Source organism: Homo sapiens, chromosome 8 (assembly GCF_000001405.40).
Source record: "Homo sapiens chromosome 8, GRCh38.p14 Primary Assembly".
In the NCBI taxonomy this organism is placed as follows: domain Eukaryota; kingdom Metazoa; phylum Chordata; class Mammalia; order Primates; family Hominidae; genus Homo; species Homo sapiens.
The window spans coordinates 28,666,393-28,690,161 of record NC_000008.11 but is presented as its reverse complement, the minus strand read 5'-3'; the positions used below and the strand labels follow the sequence as shown (position 1 = coordinate 28,690,161).

Below are 23,769 nucleotides of genomic sequence, written 5' to 3'. Positions count from 1 at the left end.
GTTAAATAAATAAATATTTGTACTTTCAACCATCAAGTTTGAGGTAATTTGTTATTGACCAATAGATAATAAATACAACCCTTTTATCCTATTTCAGCCACAAAATGAACATCCCTGTAGCCCCCCAGGGATGCAATGTGGTGCAATGCAGAAACTGTATTTATGGCTGAGTTGGAAGAGAGATCGGATCAGCAAAGACTGTGATCTCCTTTACCCTGGCTTTAGTTTACATACTCTGACTTTTTTCTTCTCTGTTGCTTTTTCTACTTTTCTTGTATTGACCAGGGTACTCAGTAAACTGAATAATCCATCTCTAGCAAGGGACTCAATCCTGCAAGTTTATATGCTTAAAGGAATTACTTTATGTAAATATGGTATTTTATGAAATTTTAGAAAACTGGTAAATGTCTATTGACAGAATCCCTAACCCCAGCTGTCCAAATCTTTGCTAGACTCATCCATACCTTAAAAGAGGAGCATGTCTTATATTTCACTAAGAAAATAGAAGACAACAGATATGAACTCTTTGAAATGCCTTCCTTCCACCTTTAAAACTATAAGTATTGAGGTGAAAACTATTATTTTAGTAGATGCTAGAGTTCTTAGGGATGGAAAATGCCTTATTTAGGAAACTACTTTGAAATGACATTTGAAGTATGGAAAAAGAGAGAATGACTTAGAATAAAACTCTGAAGCAAAGAGACAGCTAGTCAGATCTATATTTTTTAAAATCCAAAAACATGGGGACTGGAGGAGAGGAAATGGAGGTGGATAAGAAGAGATGGGGCTCAAATAACAGTGTGGGAGGCTGGAGCTGTGGGAGAGAGTTCCCAGTGATAGGGGAGCCGGAGAATGTTTAAAATAGAGATATCTATTGTCGGAATTTTAAGTTATTTGTGTTGCTAAGGATATAAAATCCCCTAAGCCTTCAGTAATATCTGTCACATGCACAAATGCCTTATGTGAGTGATTTGGGGGAGAATTACGAAAAAAGACTGCAAGGGGCTGAGCTCCACAACTGGGTCAGCAAAGAACCAAGAAATGAGAACAGCCACAGAAGTTCAGATACAAGTAAGATAAAGAATTTAATGGAAGCAGAAACTCAAAGCCAAAGAAACCATAAGAAGGAGAGCTTCCAGGAATTCACAGAAATCTTGGATTGAGTTTCCCAATGGATGCAGAATGGGGACTTAAGCCAATGTTACTTAAATCTCAGAAAAGAATGTTGCCTTAAGCTGACAGCTGAGTACATATTCACTGATTCTTCTTTCATCTCTTCCGGCCCTTGACAAAGAGATGTCCTTAACTCCTTTCTGAAACTAGGTGCTCCATTTTTGAATGTGATCTAATATCCTTCCTTTAACTCTTGCTTGATCAGTTATTCTCTTTGCTACATACATGGTCAATAACCTCCTTACTATAGCGTTTTACCCCCATTCTGCTTATAAACAGGTTCAGTCTCAGGCCTGGGGAAAATAAGAGAATAACTCAGCTCAAGCTACCATCATCTTACAACACGGGCTCTGAACCCAGAAAGATTTAGATTTGAATCCTTGTTCCACTATGTATTCATGGTGGAACACCCTGGGCATATTACATAACCTCTCTATACTCTCTCCACTACAATTTCCTCATCAGAACATGGGGATAATAATGGTACCTACCCATAGGAGTAGTGTAAGGATTATCCCAGATAATGCATGTAAATTGTTAGTCCAGGGCCTGGTATACAGTAAGCCTTCACTAACATCAACTGCTGTCATCATCATCATTTGCCCAAATTCTTGAGTCATCTCAGGCTGGGCACAGTGGCTCATGCCTGTAATCCCAGGACTTTAGGAGGCCAAGGTGGACGGATCACCTGAGGTCAGGAGTTCGAGACCAGCCTGGCCAACATGGTGAAACCCCGTCTCTACTAAAAATACAAAAAAAATTAGCCAGGTGTGGTGGCAGGCACCTGTAATCCCAGCTACTTGGGAGGCTGAGACAGGAGAATTGCTTGAACCTGGGAGGCAGAGGTTGCAGTGAGCCAAGATCGTGCCACTGCACTCCAGCCTGGGTGACAAAAGCGAAACTCCGTCTCAAAAAAAAAAAAAAAAAAGTCATCTCTTCTCTACTGTCATTCACTCTTTAATCCCTGGGGGGCTGGCTGCTGTCAATTTACTGAAACTGCTCTCATTAAGATAACCAGTGATCACTTCTAATATGAGGTTATAGAAAAAACAAATGAAAACACAAAATGAAAAAAAGAACCAGCAACTTCCTAAATTCGTTATCCCACTTAATCTTTCAGGCCTTTGGAACTCTTCTTTAGAATTTAACAGACCTAGTCACTCACCTTCTTGAAATGGTCCAGTCTTTGCTTTGCATGGCATTGCCTCTCCCCATCCTTTCTCTTTTCTTTCATTAAGTCTTAATTCTCCACCATCCCTTAAATGCTTGTGTGTCTGGGTCTCCACCCTTAGCCATCTTTTTATCACTAGGTGAACACTTCTAAGACTTCAGCAGCCAAATCTCTATCTTTAGCCCAGACCTTCCTTCTGAGCTCTTGAGCCAAACTGTCCACTAAATTTATTGTCTAAGGTTTTCACAGTCATCCAAACCAAATTTATAGAGACTATTAACTAAATCATTATTTTCTCTCCCTTCCCCAATTCTTTCCCTTCCCTAGTAATCATTTTCTTTTTTTCCTTTTTGAGATGGAGTCTCGCTCTGTTGCCCAGGCTGGAGTGCAGTGGTGTGATCTCGGCTCACTGCAACCTCCACCTCCTGGGTTCAAGCGATTCTCCTGCCTCAGCCTCCCAAGTAGCTGGGATTACAGGCGCATGCCGCTGCACCTGGCTAATTTTTGTATTTTAAGTAGAGGCGAGGTTTCACTGTCTTGGCCAGGCTGGTTACGAACTCCTGACCTCAAGTGATCCATCCACCTTGGCCTCCCAAAGTGCTGGGATTACAGGCGTGAGCCACCGCAACCAGCCCCTACTAATCATTTTCTCAAGTTTCCAGCTTGGACTGGAATGTCATTGTTATAGTCTAGCCAGGAGTCCAAGCTGGAAACATCAGTTGTTATCCTTATATCTCCCTCACCCAGCATGTCCAACTGGCTATCAGGGCCTGACAGTCCCACCTCAAAGTCTCATGGCTTCCCCGAGTCCTGCTCCATCCTACATGACCCCACTGTATTTCAGAGTGGGCTTTAGAGTCACATGGGCCTGGGTTCAAATATTAACTATGCCATAAACCTACTAATGACTGTTTTTGGTCAAGTGACTTAACCTCTCTGACCTCAGCTTTTTGTGATAATTAAATGAGATATCATATGTAAAATAGCTGGCACACAGTAAGCACTCAACAAACATTCCGCTGCATCCCCTTCCTTTGGGTCTCCATTGCTACCGGGTGGAATGCAATATCTACCTACTTGGTCTATCTTGTCCTTTCTCCTCCTAATTGCCCTAGAGTTAATTTTTCTAAAATAAATAAATAAATAAATCTGGTACTATCATCGCTGGCTTTAAAACCTTCAACGTTTTCTTTTTTCCTGTGGAATGAAGTCTCAATTCCTTAACATAAGTGGTAAGTTCCAGCTGCCTTTCTGGTCCCTGCTCCCCAAGCCCATTTACTCCAAAACATTGGCTTTTTGCCAGCCACTTCATGTACATACGGGCTTAATCTCCACACATGAAGAGCCCTTTGACTAATTCCCTTCCCCACACCAAGTTCTGTCCAATTGGCAAGAACCTCAAGGCCCACTTCAAAAACTATCATATAAAGGGTGATACCTATTCTTAAGTGGTTCAATTTTTTTCTTTTCTTTTTTTTTTTTTTGAGAGAGAGAGAGGATACTGTTATGTTGCTCAGGCTGGTCTTGAACTCCTGGGCTCAAGTGATCCACCCCCATGTCAGCCTCCCAAAATGCTGGGATTACAAGTGTGAGCCTCTGCACCTGGCCTGGTTCAATTTTTTAAAACTATTTTTTACATATACGCAAACATAGGCCAGGCACCGTGGCTCACGCCTGTAATCCCAGCACTTTGGAAGGCCAAGGCAAGCAAATCACTTGAGGTCAGGAGTTAGAGACCAACCTGAAAAACATGGTGAAACCCCATCTCTACTAGAAATACAAACATTAACTGGGCATGGTGGCAGTCACCTGTAATCCCAGCTACTCAGGAGGCTGAGGCAGGAGAATTGCTTGAACCCGGGAGGCGGAGGTTGTAGGTGAGGCGAGATGGTGCCACTGCACTCCAGCTTGAGTGACAAGACAAGACTCTGTCTCAAGAAAAAAAATAAAAATAAAAAATAAATAAAAATATAAAATATGTATATATATACACACACACATACATAATATACATATATACACACACACAAAGGAAGAGAGAGAGAAAAAGTGCTAAAATGTGGATGTGGCAAAACATCAAAAACTGGTGAATCTGGGTAAAAATTTCAAATGTACAAAAAACTTGCAAAATGCCATATAATTCTGGCAACATTTCTGTAAATTTGAAAATATTTCAAAAGAAAAAAGAAAGGACGGGCAGGGTGGTTTGTGCCTGTAATCCCAGCCCTTTAGGAAGCGGAGGCAGGAGGATCACTTGAGCCCAGGAGCTCAAGATTACAGTGAGTTATGATCCTGCCACTTCACTCCAGCCTGTACAACAGGGCCAAACAACTAGCCTATGTTTTAAAAATGTCAATGTCGTCAAAAAAAGCAAGGGCAGAAGGAAGGAAAGGAGGAAGAGGGAGAAGGGGAGGGGGGAGGAAGGAAAAGGGAGACAGGAAGAAAGAAGGGGAAGCTGAAGAAACGTTCAAGATTAGAGAAGACAAACATGAGAGCTAAATGCGATGTGTGATCCTGGATTGGATGTTAAATTGGCATTAAAAAAAACTGCTATAAAATACATTACTTGGCTGGGCATGGTGGCTCACGCCTGTAATCCCAGCACTTTGGGAGGCCGAGGTGGGTGGATCACGATGTCAGGAGTTCAAGACCAGCCTGGCCAACATGGTGAAACTCCACCTCTACTTAAAATATAAAAATTAGCTAGGCGTGGTGGCACGTGCCTGTAATCCCAGCTACTCAGGAGGCTGAGGCAGGAGAATCGCTTGAACCCAGGAGACAGAAGTTGCAGTGAGCTGTGACTGTGGCACTGCACTCCAGCCTGGGGGACAGAGCAAGACTCCATCTCAGAAAAAAAAACACAACATTATTGTTATTTAAGGGCAAAGGATCATGATATGTGCAACTTTAAAATGTTTCAGATAAATAGTCTGTGTTCGTATGTGTGTCTAGAGAGAGAAAAAATATAGCAAAATTTTAACAATTGATAAATCTGTATTAAGATTTACCACTTTTACAACTTTTCTGCACGTTTGAAATGTTTTCAAAATTAACTTTTTTAAAAAATATTTTTTCTGAGGCAGGGTCTCACTCTGTTGCCCAGGCTGCAGTGCAGTGCCAAAATCACAGCTCACTGCAGCCTCAAATTCCTCGGTTCAAGTGACCCTCTTACCCCAGCCTCCCGAGTAGCTGGGACTACAGCCATGTACCACCATACCCAGCAACATTTTTTATTTTCTATAGAAACAGGTCTTGCTGTGTTGCCCAAGCTGGTCTCCAACTCCTATCCTCAAGCAATCCTCCCACCTCAGCCTCCCAAAGTACTGGGATTACAAGGGTGAGCCATCATGCATCGTGCCCACTGAAAATAAAAAAATATTTTTACAGAACCACCTCAGATAGAAATAATGCCTTCTGAAAACCAAAAAGCACTGATGATAGATAGTACAACCACTGTGAAGAGTTTTGAGGTTCCTCAAAAAACTAAAAATAGAACTACCATATGATCCACCAATCCCACTGCTGGGTATATACTCAAAAGAAAGAAAATCAGTATATCAAAAAGGTAGCTGCACTCCCATGTTTAACTGAGGCACTATTCACAATAGCCAAGATTTGGAAGCAACCTAAGTGTTCACCAGTAGACAAACAGATAAGGAAAATGTGGTGCATATACACAAGGGAGGACTATTCCACCATATAAAAATGAGACCCTGTCACCTGCAGCAACATGGATAGAAACAGAGGTGATTATGTTAAATGAAATTAGCCAGGCACAAAAAGACAAACTTCACGGTCTCACGTATTTGTGGGAGCTAAGAATTAAAACAACTGAATTCATGGAGTAGAGAGTAGAACAACAATGGTTACCTGAGGCTAGAAAGGGCAGCGGTGGGGGAAAGGGGGGATGGTTAATGGGCACAAAAATATAGTTAGAAACAATGAATAAGATCTAGTATTTGATAGCACAACAGGGTGACTATAGACAGCAATAATTTTTTTTTTTTTGAGACGGAGTCTCACACTGTGGCCCAGGCTGGAGTGCAGTGGGGCAATCTCAGCTCACTGCAAGCTCCGCCTCCTGGGTTCTCGCCATTCTCCTGCCTCAGCCTCCTGAGTAGCTGGGACTACAGGCGCGTGCCACTACGCCTAATTTTTTGTATTTTTAGTAGAGACAGGGTTTCACCATGTTAGCCAGGATGGTCTCGATCTCCTGACCTTGTGATCCACCTGCCTCGGCCTCCCAAAGTGCTGGGATTACAGGTGTGAGCTACCTCACCCGGCCAACAGCAATAATTTATTGTACATTTTAAAATAACTAAAAGAGTATAATTGGATTGTTTGAAACATAAAGGATAAATGTTTGAGGTGACAGATATCCCCCCAAAAAATCAATGAAAGAAATTACAGACACAAATAAATGGAAAAATATCCTTTGTTCATTGAATGGAAAAATTAATGTTGTTAAAATGATCATATTACTAAAGTGATCTACAGATTCCATGCAATCCCTATCCAAATTCCAATGACATTTTTCATAAAAATAGAAAAAATAATCCTAAAGTCCATATGAAAACACAAAAGACCCTGAATAGCCAAAACAATCTTGAATGAAAAGAACACATCACGACCTGATTTCAAAATATACTGCAAAGCTACAGCAATCAAAATAGCATGGTACTGCTATGAAAACAGACACATAGACCAATGGAACAGAATAGAGAGCCCAGAAATAAATCCACACATTTATAGTCAATTGCTCTTCCACAAAAGTACTGAGAACATACAACGGGAAAAAGAGAGTCTTTTCAATAAATGGCACTGGGAAAACTGGATATCCACATTCAAAAGAATGAAATTAGACCTTTATCTCACACAATATACAAAAATGAATTCAAAGTAGATTAAAGACTTAAACACAAAACCTGAAGCTGTAAAACTACTAGAAGAAAACACAGGAGAAAAGCTTCTTGACATTGGTTTGGGCAATGATTTTTTGGATATGACCCTAAAACACAGGCAACAAAAGCAAAAATAGACAAATGGGATTGCATCAGACTAAAAAGCTGCCGCAGCCTGGGTGCAGTGACTCGTGCCTGTAATCCCAGCACTTTGGGAGGCCAAGGTGGGGGCATCACTTGAGGTCAGGAGTTTAGGACCAGCCTGGCCAACATGGTGAAACCTCATCTCTACTAGAAATACAAAAAATTAGCCAGGCATGGTGGCACACGCCTGTAGTCCCAGCTACTTGGGAGGCTGAGGCAGGAGAATCGCTTGATCCTGGGAAGCAGTGGTTGCAGTGAGCCGAGATCGCACAATTGCACTCCAGCCTGGGCAACAGAGCAAGACTCCATCTCAAAAAAATAAAATAAAAATAAAAAGCTGCTGCACAGCAAAGGAAACAATCAACAGTGAAGAGACAACCTACAGAATGGGAGAAAATATTTGCAAACCATACATCTGATAAGGGGTTAATAGCCGAAATATATAAGAACTCAACTCAACAGCAAGGAAACTAATAACCCAATTTAAAAATGAGCAAAGGACCTGAACAGATATTTCTCAAAAAATATGCAAAAATGGCCAACAAGTATATACATATACAAAAAAATGCTCAACTTCGCTAATCATTAGGAAAATGCAAATTAAAACCACAATGAAATATCATCTCACACCTGTTAGAATAGCCATTATCAAAAAGAAAACAAATGTTGATGTAGACGTAAAAAAAAGCAAACCTTATATATTGTTGTTGTTTGAGACGGAGTTTCGCTCTTGTTGCCCAGACTGGAGTGCAATAGTGCAATCTCAGCTCACCGCAACCTCCACCTCCCGGGTTCAAGCGATTCTCCTGCCTCAGCCTCCCGAGTAGCTGGAACTGGGACTACAGGCATGTGCCACCACGCCTGGCTAATTTTGTATTTTTAGTAGAGACAGGGTTTCTCCATGTTGGTCAGGCTGGTCTCGAATTCCCAACCTCTGGTAATCCGCCTGCCTCAGCCTCCTAAAGTGCTGGGATTACAGGCGTGAGCTACCATGCCCAGCCTATATTGTTGATAAGAATGGGACATGGCACAATCATTATGGAAAAACAGTATGGAGACTCCTCAAAAAATTAAAAATAGAACTACCATATGACCCAGCAATCGCACGTCTGTAGTATTTACCCAAAGGAAATGAAATCAGCATGTTAAAGATATATCTGCACTCTCTTGTTCATTGCAGTGCTATTTACAATAGCCAAAATATGAAATCAACCCGAGTGTCTATCAAGGGATGCATGAATTTTATTTATTTTTTGAGACAGAGTCTCGCTCTGTCATCCAGGCTGGAGTGCAGTGACACAATCTCAGCTCACTGCAACCTCTGCCTCCAGGGTTCAAATGATTCTCATGTTTCAGCTACCTGAATAGCTGGAATTACAGACACGTGCCACCATGCCCAGCTAATTTTTTTGCTATTTTTAGTAGAGACAGGGTTTCACAATGTTGGCCAGGCTGGTCTGGAACTCCTGACCTCAGGTGATCTGCCTGCCTCAGCCGCCCAAAGTGCTGGGATTACAGGCGTGAGCCAGTGTGTCTGTCTGGGATGCATGAATTTTTAAAATTGGAATACTATTCAGCCTTATAAAAAAGAAGGAAAATTGGCAAGGCGCAGTGGCTCACGCCTGTATCCCAGCACTGTGGGAGGCCGAGGTGGGCGGATCACAAGGTCAGGAGTTTGAGACCAGCCTGGCCAACATGGTGAAACCGTCTCTACTAAAAATACAAAAATTAGCCAGGCATGGTGGTGGGTGCCTGTAATCCCAGCTACTCAGGAGGCTGAGGCAGGAGAATCGCTTGAACCCAGGCGGCGGAGGTTGCAGTGAGCTGAGATCGTGTCACCGCACTCCAGCCTGGGCGACAGAGTGAGACTTTGTCTCAAAAAGAAGGAAATCTTATCATTTGTAACAACAAGGATGAACCTAGAGACATTATGCTAAGTGAAATAAGCCAGGCACAGAAAGACAAATACTGCATTGATCTCACTTATATGTAGAATCTAAATAAGTCAAACTCATAAAAGTAGAGAATAGAATGGTGGTTGTGAGGACTGGGGGTATGGGGAGATGTTAGTCAAAGGGTACCAAGTTGCAGTTAGGATCAATTAGTTCCGGAGATCTGCTGTACAGCATGGTGACTATAATTAATGTATATTTATAAATTGCTAAGAGATTGATCTTAAATGTTCTCACCACACACACACACAAATAAGTATGTGAGGTGATGGATGTGTTAATTCATTTGATTTAATCATTTTACAATGTGTACATAAAACATCATGTCATACCCTGTAAATATACACAACTTTTATTTATCAGTTACACACTAATAAAGCTGGGATAAAGAAAAGAAGAAATAAATAGTATGCTGTTTTTTTTTTTTTTTTTTTTGAGACAGAGTCTGTGTTGCCCAGGCTGGAGTGCAATGGTGTGATCTTGGCTCACTGCAACCTCCACCTCCCAGGTTCAAGTGATTCTCCTGCCTCAGCCTCGGAGTAGCTGGGATTACAGGCACCTGCCATCATGCCCAGCTAATTTTTGTATTTTTGTAGAGATGGGGCTTCACCATGTTGGCCAGGCTGGTCTTGAACTCCTGACCTCAGGTGATCTGCCCGCCTTGGCCTCCCAAAGTGCTGGGATTATAGGCATAAGCCACCGAGCCCGGCTGAGGAATTCCTTCTTTTTTAAGGCAATAGTATTTGTCTTACACCGGAAAAAAAAAAAGCACAAATATTAAATTCTAGCTTGCTTTTCAAAAAATAAAAAAGAACTAATGCTGCTTGGTTTAAGCTGCTGTAAATGTTTTTACTTTTACTATAAAAAGCCTGGATTGAGTTGTAATTATTGGTTTAAGCATTTGTCTTATTCTATTAGACTGACAGCTTCTTGATGCAAGAACTTAAATTGCCTTTTGGAATTGAATAGTGAGACAAGTATCCTAATTCAGGGCAGTATTATTTTCCTGGCATGGCATTATTAGAGTACTAATATGCTACAATTTAGGATCATAGTAAACAAGGCTGGACATTCTTTTTTTTTTTTTTTTTAAGAGGTAGGGTCGGGTCTTGCTTTGTCACTCAAGCTGGAATGCAGTGGCATGATCATAGCTCACTGCAGCCTTGAACTCCTGGGCTCAAGCGATCCTCCTGCATAGATGGGACTACATGAGTGCCTCACGACACCTAGCTATGTTTAGTTTTTTGTAGAAACAGGGTCTCCCTGTGTTGCCCAGGCTGCTCTTGAATGCCTGCCCTCAATGAATCCTCCCACCTTGGCCTCCCAAAGTGCTGGAATTATAAGCATGAGCCACCAGACTGGACATTCTTTTTTTTGAGACAGCATCTTGCTCTGTCACCAGGCTGGAGTGTAGTGGCACGATCTTGGTTCACTGTAACCTCTGCCTCCCAGGTTCAAGCGATTCTCCCGCCTTAGCCTCCCGAGTAGCTGGGACTACAGGCACGCGCCACCACACTCAGATAATTTTTGTATTTTTAGTAGAGACGGGATTTCACCATGTTAGCCAGGATGGTCTCGATCTCTTGACCTCGTGATCTGCCCGCCTCAGCCTCCCAAAGTGCTGGGATAACAGGCGTGAACCGGCACGCCTGGCCTAGACTGGACATTCTTAAAACGGGAACAAGAATAGAAAATGACCCTTTGGTTTGGAGCATAGAACAGTGCTGGCATTAATCTACTCAATGTACTGTTCTGTGTCTTTACAGAACCTTCTGCAGGCAAGACTGGAAAGTCCACCCCTGGTCCCAGGCAGATGCACAAAGAAGCTGGTATAAGGGAGAGGCCTCATGAAAGTTGGAGCTGAATTTGCCATTGATGCCTAGGATTGCAACCCCTGGTATTTGTTTTATCACTTCCACTACACACAGTGCAGGAGGGCAGCCCATCCTTAGTTGGCCAGAGGTTTTACTTTAAAACCCATGGGCTAAGACACCAAACAGTTGGAACATATAGGGGAAATCATGCTTTTCCCTTCTCCCCATGCTTGTTTTGATCAAGAAGCTAGGAAACTTTCTCTTCTCCACAGTATTGAAGCGATGGCATCTGTCTTAGTCCATTTGTGTTGCTACAAAGGCTGGGTAATTAATTTATAAAGAAAAAAAGGTTTATTTGGCTCGTGGTTCTGCAGGCTGCACAAAAAGCATGCCACCAGCATCTGCATCTGGTGAGGGTCTCAGGCTGCTTTCACTCATGGGGGAAGTTGAAGGGGAGCCAGCGTGTGCAGAGATCACATGGAGAGAGAAAAAGCAAAGAGAGAGGGGAGAGGGGTGCCAGGCTCTTTTTAACACCAGTTCTCTCAGAAACTAATAGAGTGAGAACTCACCCACTCCTTCTACCATTAATCTATTCCTAAATGATCCACCCCCATTACCCAAGCATCTCTCATTAGGCTTCACCTCCAACATTGGGAATCGAATTTCAACATGAGATTTGGAGGGGACAGACATCCAAACTATCTCAGCATCCATCCTTCTCTCTGCGTACTCTGCTGACTTACTCTTCCTTGTAGAAGAAAACAATTCAGTGTGTGATCGATGAGACTAGGTGCAGGGTCACTGCACACTCACCACTCAGGCTGCCTTTGAATTCCTCTTTTGTAGATGTCTGCCCACAGGCCACGTGCCTTCTTCTCTCCTCCACTCAGCAGCAGATACAGCAGTTTCCGGCGACTATGCCTATGACCAAGGTCAAGTTCAATTCATGGAGAAAGAAATGAGAAGCCTGTTTTGGCCTTGGATCCAAGCCACCTTCTCCAGGCCAGCTTCAGTAGCAATCAAGCTGACATTTTAAACCCAGTCTGATTCCTGTGACTGTACCATTTGGTTCAGGACTCAAAAGAGAGAAGAAGATGAAGGACCTCTCAGAATCCCAACAGTATTTTACTAATCTTTGGATCCCAGCACCTCTCCTGGTGCTTGTTCTATTACAAGCCCTCAATAAATTTTGTTGTCTTGAACTCAGAGTGTGCAGCACACAGGCAGATAGCTGCTCACAGCTATTATTGGGGTGGTTGTGTTTTTTTTTCGTAACAGAACAAAGTGATTTTTGATGCTTTTCTAGTTTGTCAGAGGGCTCTGAGGCTATACAGAAGCAGCTTTAGTGAACAGAGGAGAGCGAGCTGTGTCTTTGTGCTTCACAATGATTGCAATGCCAGAGAGTGATGTCCCAGGGGAGCTGTCAAACAGCTTGACAGCAATTCTAGCAAGAAGTGGTAGAAACACAATTTTGCAATAATGATCATACGTTTTTTGAAATTTTCCTTTATCCTTGAAATGCCTTGTGTTGTCGAAAATCTATTCATTACTGTTCAGTCATCTGTAGCGAGTCATCCCTTTAGGTCTCTGTACTCGGAAGTTACAGCCCTGGGAGTATTTTGGCAGAGAGACAAAGGCTCCTAGGCACAGTGGGGGAGTCAGAAAGGTACAAGTAAATAGCGGCTCCAAGGAGTTAGATTTTTAAAAAAATAATAAAAGGACGGGAAGTGACAAGAAATCATCTTCCTCAAAGCGGCTTTAGTTTTCTAAAAGCAGGCACCATAGCTCTTTGATATTTTTACCATGCACATCTCTGGTGCTTTCATTTTCTTTTTCCTCTAATCCCTTCCATGCATTTCCTTCATTAATTATCCCTTTTCTCTCCAGGATGTTCAACTTCTCCCTGTCTCTACTGCCTCCTTCACCTCGACCTATAAACATGTACAAGTTTCTTACATCCTCAGAAACTTCCAGCTACCCTCAAATGCTCACTCTCTTCCCTTCTCTTTGTAGCCAAGAGACGAGCCTATTCCAGTGCTACCCAAAGCATGGTCTGCAGACCAGCAGCACCAGCATCCCAGGGAAGCCAGATTTGAAATGCAGTTCTCACGCTCACCCAGACCTACTGAATCCGAATCTCTGTGGGTGGGGTCCAAGAATCTGTTTCAACACACTCTCCAGGTGATGCTTAGGCACACGGGGGTCTGAGAAGCACTGCCTCTACTTCCTGTCTCTGGTCACCACTTTGGGCGATCTTCCTCTGTCCCTTTAAGGTGTGCACCTTCCCCAGGGCTCTGTCCTGGGCCTTGGCTTCATTGCACTCAATCATTTCCCTACGTGATCTCATCCACCAAAGGTTGATTTGGTTATTTGTGTGTTTTAACATAGGTTTATACCAGTGGTTCTCAAATTTATGTCTCTATCCCAGACCTCTTTCTCTGAGCCCTAAGAATGTCCAGTTGCTTTCTGGACTTGTTTACCAAAATGTTGCACAGTTCTCTAAACTATGTCTAAAACCAACTTAGTATCTCCTAAACCCACTCTGCATCAATGTCAATAATCTGGGTTGTGTGACAGCTTTGCCACCCCCTTGGCGCCTGCCACCCTGGGATCCAGCTACACCCACTGCCTTTATGCTTCCCAGTTCACTGACTGAAGTGCACACCACAAGGTCTGGCCTATAGACAAGAGCAATCACAGAGCTCTTCAAGGATGCCAGGGCACCCCTCATATATTTATTTCTCACATTCTTGATGAAATGTATGCCTTCTAGACCCTCCCAGGGTGGGTGAGTAGGCCTCAAATGACAATTGCACTGTAACTGCCAGTCCCTTAAGTCTTTGAATCCCTTCCTCCACATTAAACCAAGACATGTCCACCATCTCCAGTTCACTCACGTGGACCACCTTTGAGTCTATGTTTCAGCCAGCCAACCAACCAATCAGATTCAACACTTCCTTTTTTCTTCTTTTTTTTTTTTTTTTTGAGATGGAGTCTCACTCTGTCACCCAGGCTGGAGAGCAGTGGCATGATCTTGGCTCACTGCAACCTCCGCCTCCCAGGTTCAAGCGATTCTCCAGCCTCAGCCTCCCAAGCAGCTGGGATTACAGGCGTGCACCACCGCACCCAGCTAATTTTTGTATTTTTAGTAGAGATGGGGTTTCACCATGTTGGTCAGGCTGGTCTCGAACTCCTGACCTCAAGTGATCTGACCGCCTTGGCCTCCCAAAGTGCTGGGATTACAGGCATGAGCTGCCGCGCCCAGCCAGATTCAACATTTTCTAACGCCCAAAGCTGCAACGCTAAATGGAGAATCCCTGCTTAGTGAGCCCATGTCAAAACATTCAGCCCCATCCAACTTTATGTTCCTTCCACCTACTGGGTGAAGTGTCAGAGCCCCAGCATCAGAAAGTGGTCAGCTCATGGGTAGTAGGGTAGTAAGAAGAATTTACTGACAACAGTATAGGTTAGAAAAAGACAGTTTTATTAGATAGAAGAGTGTAGCTGGGCACTACTGCAAGAGAGGACCGAGCGTGCTGCAGTGGACTTTTCCTTAGGGGTATTTATGAATCTTAAAGAGGGAGCTTAACGGTAATTGGACTATACTGACCACAGAGGTCATGATACATGATTACATTTGTAGACATTTTGGTGCCTTGATGTCAGCAAGTGTTGCACGATGAGTTTCGACATGCATGCATTCTGGAGATGTATAGAAATTCTAGTTATTTATACATTTTGGAGAAAGCAGCCCATACCAGATGCCTGCTTTAGATCATAGGGAATCTCTTATTTCTAAATCCCTCAGCTGAGGAGTTTGGCCTCTGGATGGACTGTTTGGTGCCTCTCCCAGGTGATCTTTGCTCTCCTCACCACCATTATCCCACACTCATAGTATCCATTCCCATACACATTCCCTGAATTTCTGTCTGTAGAAATTTAAAAAGTCAAGTAGTTCAGTGGAGTGCAGCACACCTCTTATGGGCCAGTCACACAGTGTACCTCATCTTCAGGGGCTGCTGGACTGAAGTCTAACAAAGAGGAGTGGTGGGGTGGGTCCTGAGGAGTTCAACATTGTGTTGCTCAGCACCTGCCTCAGGGGAGGCCATTACTATTTCCTCAGGCAATGCAGGCTTCATCCTCTCAGAGGTGGAAAGACCAATACCACTGAGGGTTGGGAATGCCACTGTTGCTGGGGTTGTTGGGAAGCAAAGGTGGGAGTGCTCCTTCACTGATAAAGGAGACATCAGAATTTAGGGGCTCAATGTCCTCAGCTTTATCAAAGTTTTCCCAAACATCCCCATCCCAACTTGCAAGATCCCATTCTTTCCCAATTAATGCTCTCACTTTAACTGCACATAGCCTGCAAAGCTGTGAGTTCAACTTGCGTTGTAATTCAGCCACTTGCAGGATGAGGTTCTGCATTTGACTTTCAGCAATTTCCGCCCTTCTGTACAGTAAATAAAGGTCTCCCTCAGGGCACACATAAAAGTTCCTAGGTCATTTTTGTGGTGCATGAACTAGGAATGTGAATCCCTGACCTCATCCTTTCCTTCCACCAGCATGACATTAGGGTTCCAACCAACATCATTATATTCATTCATTTTCCAAAATGTTCGAAAGTATCATATATAAGCCAGGCATGGTGGCTCACACCTGTAATCCCAGCATTTTGGGAGGCCAAAGTGGGAGGATCACTTGAGCCCAGGAGTTTGAGAACAGCCTGGGCCACATGGCAAGACCCTTGTCTCTAAAAAAAAAAAGCTGGGCAAAGTGGCACATACCTGTAGTCCCAGCTACTCAGGAAGCTGATGTGGGAGGATCACTTGAGCCTAAGCAGTCAAGGCTGCAGTGAGCCATGATTGTGCTACTGCACTCCAGCTGGGGTGACAGAGTAAGACTCTACCTCAGAAAACAAACAAACAAACAAACAAAAGGTATCATATATAACATTACTGAGCTCATTGATTCTATAGTTGGTTGATTAGGAGTATCCAACACAGTATTCTGTGTATCTCTACAAACAGCTCACGTTATGGACTATTAGCACTCTTTTTACTACTGGAAATACAGTCATTAGTGCCTTTAAATCTAATCAGATTAGAGAGCCAATTCTAGAAACCCCAGAACCAGTTCAGAAAATTCATCCTTAAAATTCTGCTCCTCTAGAAGCACTCTCAGTGCCAAAATCTATACAAAGTTTTCCAGAGAAACAGAACAAGAAGGAGATATCTCTATATATAGATAGACATAGAGATATCTCCAGATATCTCCTTCTGGTCCTGTATATAGATAGATACAGAGAGCTAGTCTCATCCACAAACACTCTCAAAGACACAATGAAAAAGAGAGAGGGATTGATTAATTGTAAGGAATTGACTCACACGATTATGGATAGTAAGTCCCATGACCAGCCTTTCTGTAAGCCAGAGACCCAGGAAAGCTCATGGTATAATTAAGTCTGCATCCAAAGTCCTGAGAACCAGGGAACCAACGGTGTGTAAATCCCAGTCTGGAGATGTTCCAGCTCAAGCAGGCAGGCAGGAAACCAAAACAGGGCAAACTCCTTCTTCCTCTGCCTTTTGTTCTCTTCAGGCCCTCCATCGATCAGATGATGCCTGCTCACATTAGGGAAGGCAATCTACTTTACAGAATCCAATGTCAATCTTAGCCAGAAACACCCGCAAAGACACATCAGGAAATAATGTTTATTCTGGGTATCCCATGGCTAGTCAAGTTGACAGATAAAATTAACCATTTCATGGGCATATGACTAAACTGAGCAACCACACAGTGATGAAAATGCCTGCTAAAAGGAAGAGTGTCATCTATACAGTTTTGAAGTTCTCTAGAATTCTGCTTACTCTATTAGTCCATTTTCAGGTTGCTGATAAAGACATACCCAAGACTGGGTAATTTATAAAGAAAGAGGTTTAATGGACTCACAGTTCCATGTGGCTGAGGAGGCCTCACAATCGTGGTGGAAGGCTAAAGGCACATCTTACATGGCCACAGGCAAGAGCAAATGAGAGTTTGTGCAGGGAAACTCCCCTTTATAAAACCATCAGATCTCTCTATCTCAAGAACTGCACAGGGAAGACCCACCCCCCGATTCAATTACCTCCCACCGGGTCCCTCCCATGACACGTGAGAATTGTGGAAGCCACAATTCAAGATGAGATTTGGATGGGGACACAGCCAAACCATATCGGTTACCTTTCTAGGTTTTAGGTCAATTTCAAGATGCATACATCACCACCAAGCAACTACACAGCAAATATACTCAGTCCGTGATTCTGAAACATGGGCATGCATCAGAGTCACCTGGGTGGCTTGTTACAATGCAGATTTCTAGGGTCCACCCCTAGAGTTTCTGATTTAGTCGGTTTTGGATGGGACCTGAGATTTCCTAGTGCTAACAAATCCCCAGGTGATATTGATGCTGATCAAAGGAATACACTTTGAGAACCAGTAAATTCAAGAGTACAATTGCTACACCTGACAATCTTCACAGCCAAGAGAAGCTAATCTGATCTCCCTTAATAAAACCATATTATTTTTTTTCTTTCTCCCCCCGCCCCCCCACCCCGAGAAGGAGTCTCGCTCGGTTGCCCAGACTGGAGTGCAGTGGCACGATCTCGGCTCACTGCAAGCTCCGCCTCCTGGTTTCATGCCATTCTCCTGCCTCAGCCTCCCGAGTAGCTGGGACTATAGGTGCCCACCACCATGCCCGGCTAATTTTTTTGTATTTTTAGTAGAGACAGGGTTTCACCATGTTAGCCAGGATGGTCTCGATCTCCTGACCTCACGTGATCCACCCACCTTGGCCTCCCAAACTGCTGGGATTACAGGCGTGCACCAAACGCTCCTGGCCAGAAAACCATATTCTAAGGAAAGCAAACAGTTATCACAATTACACACTTCAGCAACCTCCATCTCCTCTTTGCTACTTAAGGGATGAAAACATCAACTGTGTATGTAAAAGTTAAATGTTGGGAAAGCGGAGGAACATAAGTTTTTGTTTTGTTTGTAGAGACAGGGTTCTCATTATGTTACCCAGCCTTGTCTCAAACTCCTGGGCTCAAGCACTTTACCTGCCTTAGCCTCCCAAATGAGTTCTAACACTTTAAATTCTGTTCATCTCTGAAAAAATCACTGCAAGGCTGAATTCACCGTACGATAAAGAAATCATGCCCACAATGTTATTTTTCTAGGGTTCCCTTTTCCTCACAAAGTGGTGCCAGTGGAAAGCAGCATTTCAGTAACTCCTACCTTTATCCTAGTTTAGTGACTGATGCATTAACATGGGGTGAGTTTGATTAAAGGGGGCAGCCAACATTTACAGGTACAATTAAAATAGGAGCTATGGGCTGGGCATGGAGGCTCATGCCTGTAATCCCAGCACTTTGGGAGGCGAAAGCAGGTGACCACCTGAGGTCAGGAGTTCAAGACCAGCCTGGCCAACATGGTGAAACCCCATCTCTACTAAAAACACAAAAATTAGCCAGGCATGGTGGCACACACCTGTAATCTCACCTACTCCAGAGGTTGAAGCACAAGAATCGCTTGAACTCAGGAGGCAGAGGTTGCCGAAATCTTGAGAGGTTGCGGAGGAGAGAGTGAGCAGAGATCGTGACACTGCACTCCAGCCTAGGCAACAGAGAGAGAGTCGGTCTCAAAAAAAAAAAAAAAAAAAACAAAAAACAAAACATAAAAATAAAATTAGGCCAGGCACAGTGGCTCATGCCTGTAATCCCAGCACTTTGGGAGGCCAAGGTGGGCATATCACCTGAGGTCAGGAGTTCAAGACTAGCCTAGCCAACATGGTGAAACTCCGTCTCTACTAAAAATACAAAAAATTAGCTGGGCGTGGTAGCACACACCTGTAATCCCAACTACTGGCGAGGCAGAGGCAGGAGAATCGCTTCAACCCGGGAGGCGGAGGCTGCAGTGAGCCAAGATTGTGCCACTGCACTCCAGCCTAGGTGACAGAGCAAGACTCCGTCTCAAAAAATAAATTAATTAAAAAAAAAAAACAGAAGCTATGGTGCTATCAGGAAAGGGAGTAAAGATTTGCTCTCATTCTATTCTCTCCTTTATGTTTCAGACAGTTGAAGGGACTACCCAAATACCAAAATGATATTGAGGAGGAGGCACTTTGTGATGGCTAATTTTATGTGTCAGCTTGATTGGGTCAGGAGTGTCCAAACATTGGGTCAGACGTTATTCAGGTGTCTGGGGATGACATTAACATTGGAATCGAGAGACTGAGTAAAGCCTGCTGTGCTTGGGCCTCATCCAAACAGTTGAAGACCTGACTAGAACAAAATGGCTGAGTATGAAAGAACTCCTGCCTCACTGTTGAGCATCACAGTTGACATCAGCTGTTTCCTGCCTTTAGACTTGAACTGAGACATCGCTTCTTCCTTCTGACTTGAACTGAGACATCACCTCTTCCTTCAGACTTGCACGGACACATCAGCTCTTCTTGAGTCTCAAGCCTGCTGGTTTTCGAACTAGAATTTACATCACCAGCCCTTCTGGGTCTCCAGCCATCCAACTGCAAATCCTGGGACTTGTCAGCCTTCATAATTGTGTGAGTCAATTCTATACTAAATCTTTATACACTCACATACTCTGTTGGATCTGTTTCTCTGGCAATCCCTTAATACAGAACTGGACCAAAAATTCCTTCTAAATCACTGTTTGCTGCCTTAATTTCTACCTCACTAAAAATTAGCACTATTCCTAGCAACCTGTCTCAAAGTCCCCCATCTCCCCCCAACCTTTTTTTTTTTGAGACAGAGTCTCACTCTGCTGCCTAAGCTGGAGTGCAGTGGTGCAATCTCAGCTCACTGCAATCTCTGCCTCCCTGGCTCAAGCGATCCTTCTGCCTCAGCTCCCCAAGTAGCTGGGACCACAGGCACACAACATCATGCCCAGCTAGTTTTTGTATTTTTGGTCGAGACGGGGTTTTGCCATGTTGCCCAGGTTGCTCTCAAACTCCTGGGCTCAGGTGATCCACCTGTATCAGCCTCCCAAAGTGCTCAGATCACAGGCATAAGCCACTGCACCCGGCCTCAAAGTCCCTTTAAAGGACATCTGCAACCTGGCATCTCAGTACAGGTGATTCAGATTCAATGACTCAGTGGTGATTTCAGCCCTGTTGTGCCATCAGCCCTGGGAGTGAAGCCAAGGTTGAGGCTTGCTGAAAGTGGAACGCATGTTCATTTAGACACCCATTGTAATATTCTGGGTGATGCTAATTTTTCTTGCTTAATATCAGAGAACAGAGAAGTTAGAGATGATATCAAAAATGGAAACAACATGTACAGTCCCCATAATTTGTGAATTATGGGGACAGATTCCATTTCTGTCTTTTGTCTTGAGCTTCTATGTGAGCTACTACAAAAATGACAGGGCTTTCTGCCCTCCATTTCCCCCTTAGTTTGCACAACACACACACCCCTTCTCAAACTTCTGAAAGCTCTCAGACATACTTTTGAAAGTAAAGAGGCTATAGAGGACATATCAATTTATCTAATAGAGTAATAGCATTATGCAGGAAATGGTAACTTGAAGAGAAGCATTTGATAGGCATGAAAGAGCAGCAAAGCTGCATAGCATTAACACCCCACTCCACTTTAAGTACTGATGTAGGTAACTGCTGCAATAATTATGCCATTAAGAAAGAGTGTTCCAATGGCCTTGATACATGCTACCATCGGAATAAAGTTAGGACATTTTCCTTATAGTTAGTGCAGTGCGAATTGAAGAAGACCAAGAAATGCTTTTCAGAGTAAGAGAGGTACCATAAAGGGCCTCAGAGATTTGCTTCTATCAGGCCAGGCACAGTGACTTATGCCTGTAATCCCAGTATTTTGGGAGGCCAAGGCAGGTGGATCACTTAAGGTCAAGAGTTTGAGACCAGCCTGGCCAACATGGTGAAACCCTGCCTCTACTAAAAATACAAAAATTAGCTGGGCATGGTGGCACACACCTGTAGTCCCAGCTACTCAGGAGGCTGAGGCAGGAGAATTGCTTGAACCCAGGAGACGGAGGTTGCAGTGAGCTGAGATCATGCCAATGCACTCCAGCCTGGGCAACACAGTAAGACTCTGTCTCAAAAAAAAAAAAAAAAGAGATTCTATCAAAGGAGGCAGGGGTATGCTATTGGTTACTGGTGCATATTAGATGCTTGCCAGATGCCAAGCCTAGGTAAACTTGTACACTAGCCATGATATGAGAAGTATGTTGGGGCTGATGCTGGCTTCAGGAGATCTACATGGTGTGAGTCTGGATCAATAAAATGTGAAAATTAATGGTAGCTTCCATTTAGTGAATAATAACATCAATAGTTAACAACTCTGGGCTAGGCACAGTGGCTCACGCCTGTAATCTCAGCATTTTGGGAAGCCGAGGCAGGCAGATCAACTGAGGTCACAAGTTCGAGACCATCCTGGCCAACATGGGGAAACCCCGTCTCTACTAAAAATACAAAAATTAGCCAGGCATGGTGGTGGGCACTGTGGCTGTAATCCCAGCTACTGGTGAGGCTGAGGCAGGAGAATTGCTTGAACCTGGGACGCGGAGGTTGCAGTGAGCCGAGATTGCACCACTGCACTCCAGCCTGGGTGACAGAGTGAGACTCTGTCTCAAAAAAAAAAAAAAAAAAAAAAAAAGTAACAACTCTGGAAAGAAAGTATTCTTTGTCTTTTCTTTTTTCTTTTCTTTTTTTTTTTTTTTTGAGACAGGACCTCATATTTTGTTGGAGTGCACTGGTGCAATCATACCTCACTGCAGCCTTGAACTCCTGGGCTCGAGCAATCCTCTCACGTCAGCCTCACAAGTAGCTGCCACTACAAGTGCATGCCACCATGCCCGAATAATTTTTTCAGTTTTATTTTGTAAAGACAATGTCTCAGCATCTTGCCCAGGCTGGTCTTGAACTCCTGGACTCAAGAGATTCTCCCACCTCAATCCCCCAAAGTGCTAGGATTACAGGCGTGAGTCACTGAGCTTGCCCAGGCTGCTTTTGAACTCCTAGACTAAAGAGATTCTGCTGCCTCAATTCCCCAAAGTGTTGGGATGACAGGTGTGAGCCACCACGCCCAGCCAAGGGAAGAAAATATTCTTTTTTTTTTTTTTATACTTTAATTTCTAGGGTACATGTGCACAATGTGCAGGTTTGTTACATATGTATACATGTGCCATGTTGGTGTGCTGCACCCATTAACTCGTCATTTACATTAGGTATATCTCCTAATGCTGTCCCTCCCCCCTCCCCCCACACCAAGGGAAGAAAATATTCTTAAGTGACCTGCCCAAAGTCATACAGCTAATAAGTGGCAGAGACAAGATCTGAACCTAAGTGCTTCTGATTCCAAAGCCTGGGCTTAAACACAATTTGATTCTGCTTGCCAAAGCATTACAGCTGAGTAAGCTTTAAGGAAACCTCACCAATCGGAACCATGCAAAATAAAGAAATATCAGAGGCCTGAGCTATCAAGTCCAGTGAGGAGGGTAGCCACTTGGCCAAGAGGCCCAGTATTGAACAGAAATATTCACAGTACCTTGAATGAAGGAGGGGCCAACAGTGACTCCTGGTCCTTGACCAAACTTGAGTCAGGCTCCTCTGAATGCTCTTCTTGACCAGGCCTCATCCTTGGCCTGCTGAATCTGGTTCTGCAAGAATCCCCCACCCTTGTTACTTTACCAAGTTCCTTGCATTACTTTTCCATCCACTGGCCCCTGCACCTTGTCCATTGTCTACAAATCCCCAGCTGCCACTGTTATATTCAGGGTTGAGTCTTGACCCCCAATGCAATAGTCTTGAAAAAAGTTTTCTTTGCCTACTTAACTTGTTCAGCGCAATTTTTCTCTGACAGGTAAACAATGAGGGAGCTCCATTAGCACAACCAGAGTCTTTCATCCTTGCCGCCCCAGAGGATCTGGTGTCTGGGTCAACAGACTGACCAGCACAGGAAGCTCCCACACCTTCAAGTTGAGTCTGCCAGAGGACTCTCCAGGTTGCATTGCTGTGGGGACCTTTATGCAAGGTAAGGAGACAAACCAGGGAGTCGAAGGCAGGAGGAGAGGACTGGAATACAATTTTAAGAAAGGAGTGGCTGGGGCTGGGCGTGGTGGCTCATGCCTGTAATCCCAGCGCTCTGAGAGGCCGAGGCAGGCAGATCACCTGAGGTCAGGAGTTCGAGACCAGCCTGGCCAACATGGTGAAACCCCATCTCTACTAATAATACAAAATTAGCTGGGTGTGGTGGCATGTGCCTGTAATCCCAGCTACTGGGGAGGCTGAGGCACAAGAATCACTTGAACCCAGGAGGCGGGGGTTGTAGTGAGCCAAGATCACGCCACTGCACTCCAGCCTGGGCGACAGAGTGAAACTCTGTCTCAAATAAAAAAAAAGAAAGAAAAGAAAAGAGTGGCTGGGCGTAAGCACGCCTATAGTCCCAGCACTTTGGGAGGCCAAGGTGGGAGGATTGCTTAAGTCCAGGAGTTTGAGACCAGCCTGGGCAACATAGTGAGACTCCATCAAAAAAAATTAGCCAGGCTTGGTGGTACACGCCCATGGTCCCAGCTATTCAGGAGGCTGA

The 23,769-nt window shown here is 43.9% G+C and overlaps 1 protein-coding gene across 8 annotated transcripts in view, besides 1 other annotated feature; it reads right to left on the bottom strand.

Annotated features, from left to right (window-relative positions):
- EXTL3 (exostosin like glycosyltransferase 3) overlaps nt 1–23,769 on the bottom strand; it is a 148,827-nt gene that overhangs the window by 66,401 nt on the left and 58,657 nt on the right. For 2 of the 8 annotated variants that reach the window (NM_001438753.1, NM_001438751.1), the window contains one exon: nt 4,154–4,272. The exons of 5 other annotated variants lie outside the window; for them this stretch is intronic. The gene's annotated coding sequence lies outside the window, so the exon portion shown is untranslated. Of the gene's footprint in view, nt 1–4,153; nt 4,277–23,769 lie in introns of those variants that run through there. One more of the 8 variants, XM_047421515.1, reaches the window with a different exon arrangement.
- Nucleotides 22,956–23,250: a silencer, noted in NCBI's record as "tiled region #11135; K562 Repressive non-DNase unmatched - State 22:ReprW". NCBI's record gives its function as "represses a minimal TATA promoter and a strong SV40 promoter by Sharpr-MPRA in K562 cells {active_cell/tissue: K562}" and the evidence as "EXISTENCE:reporter gene assay evidence [ECO:0000049][PMID:27701403]".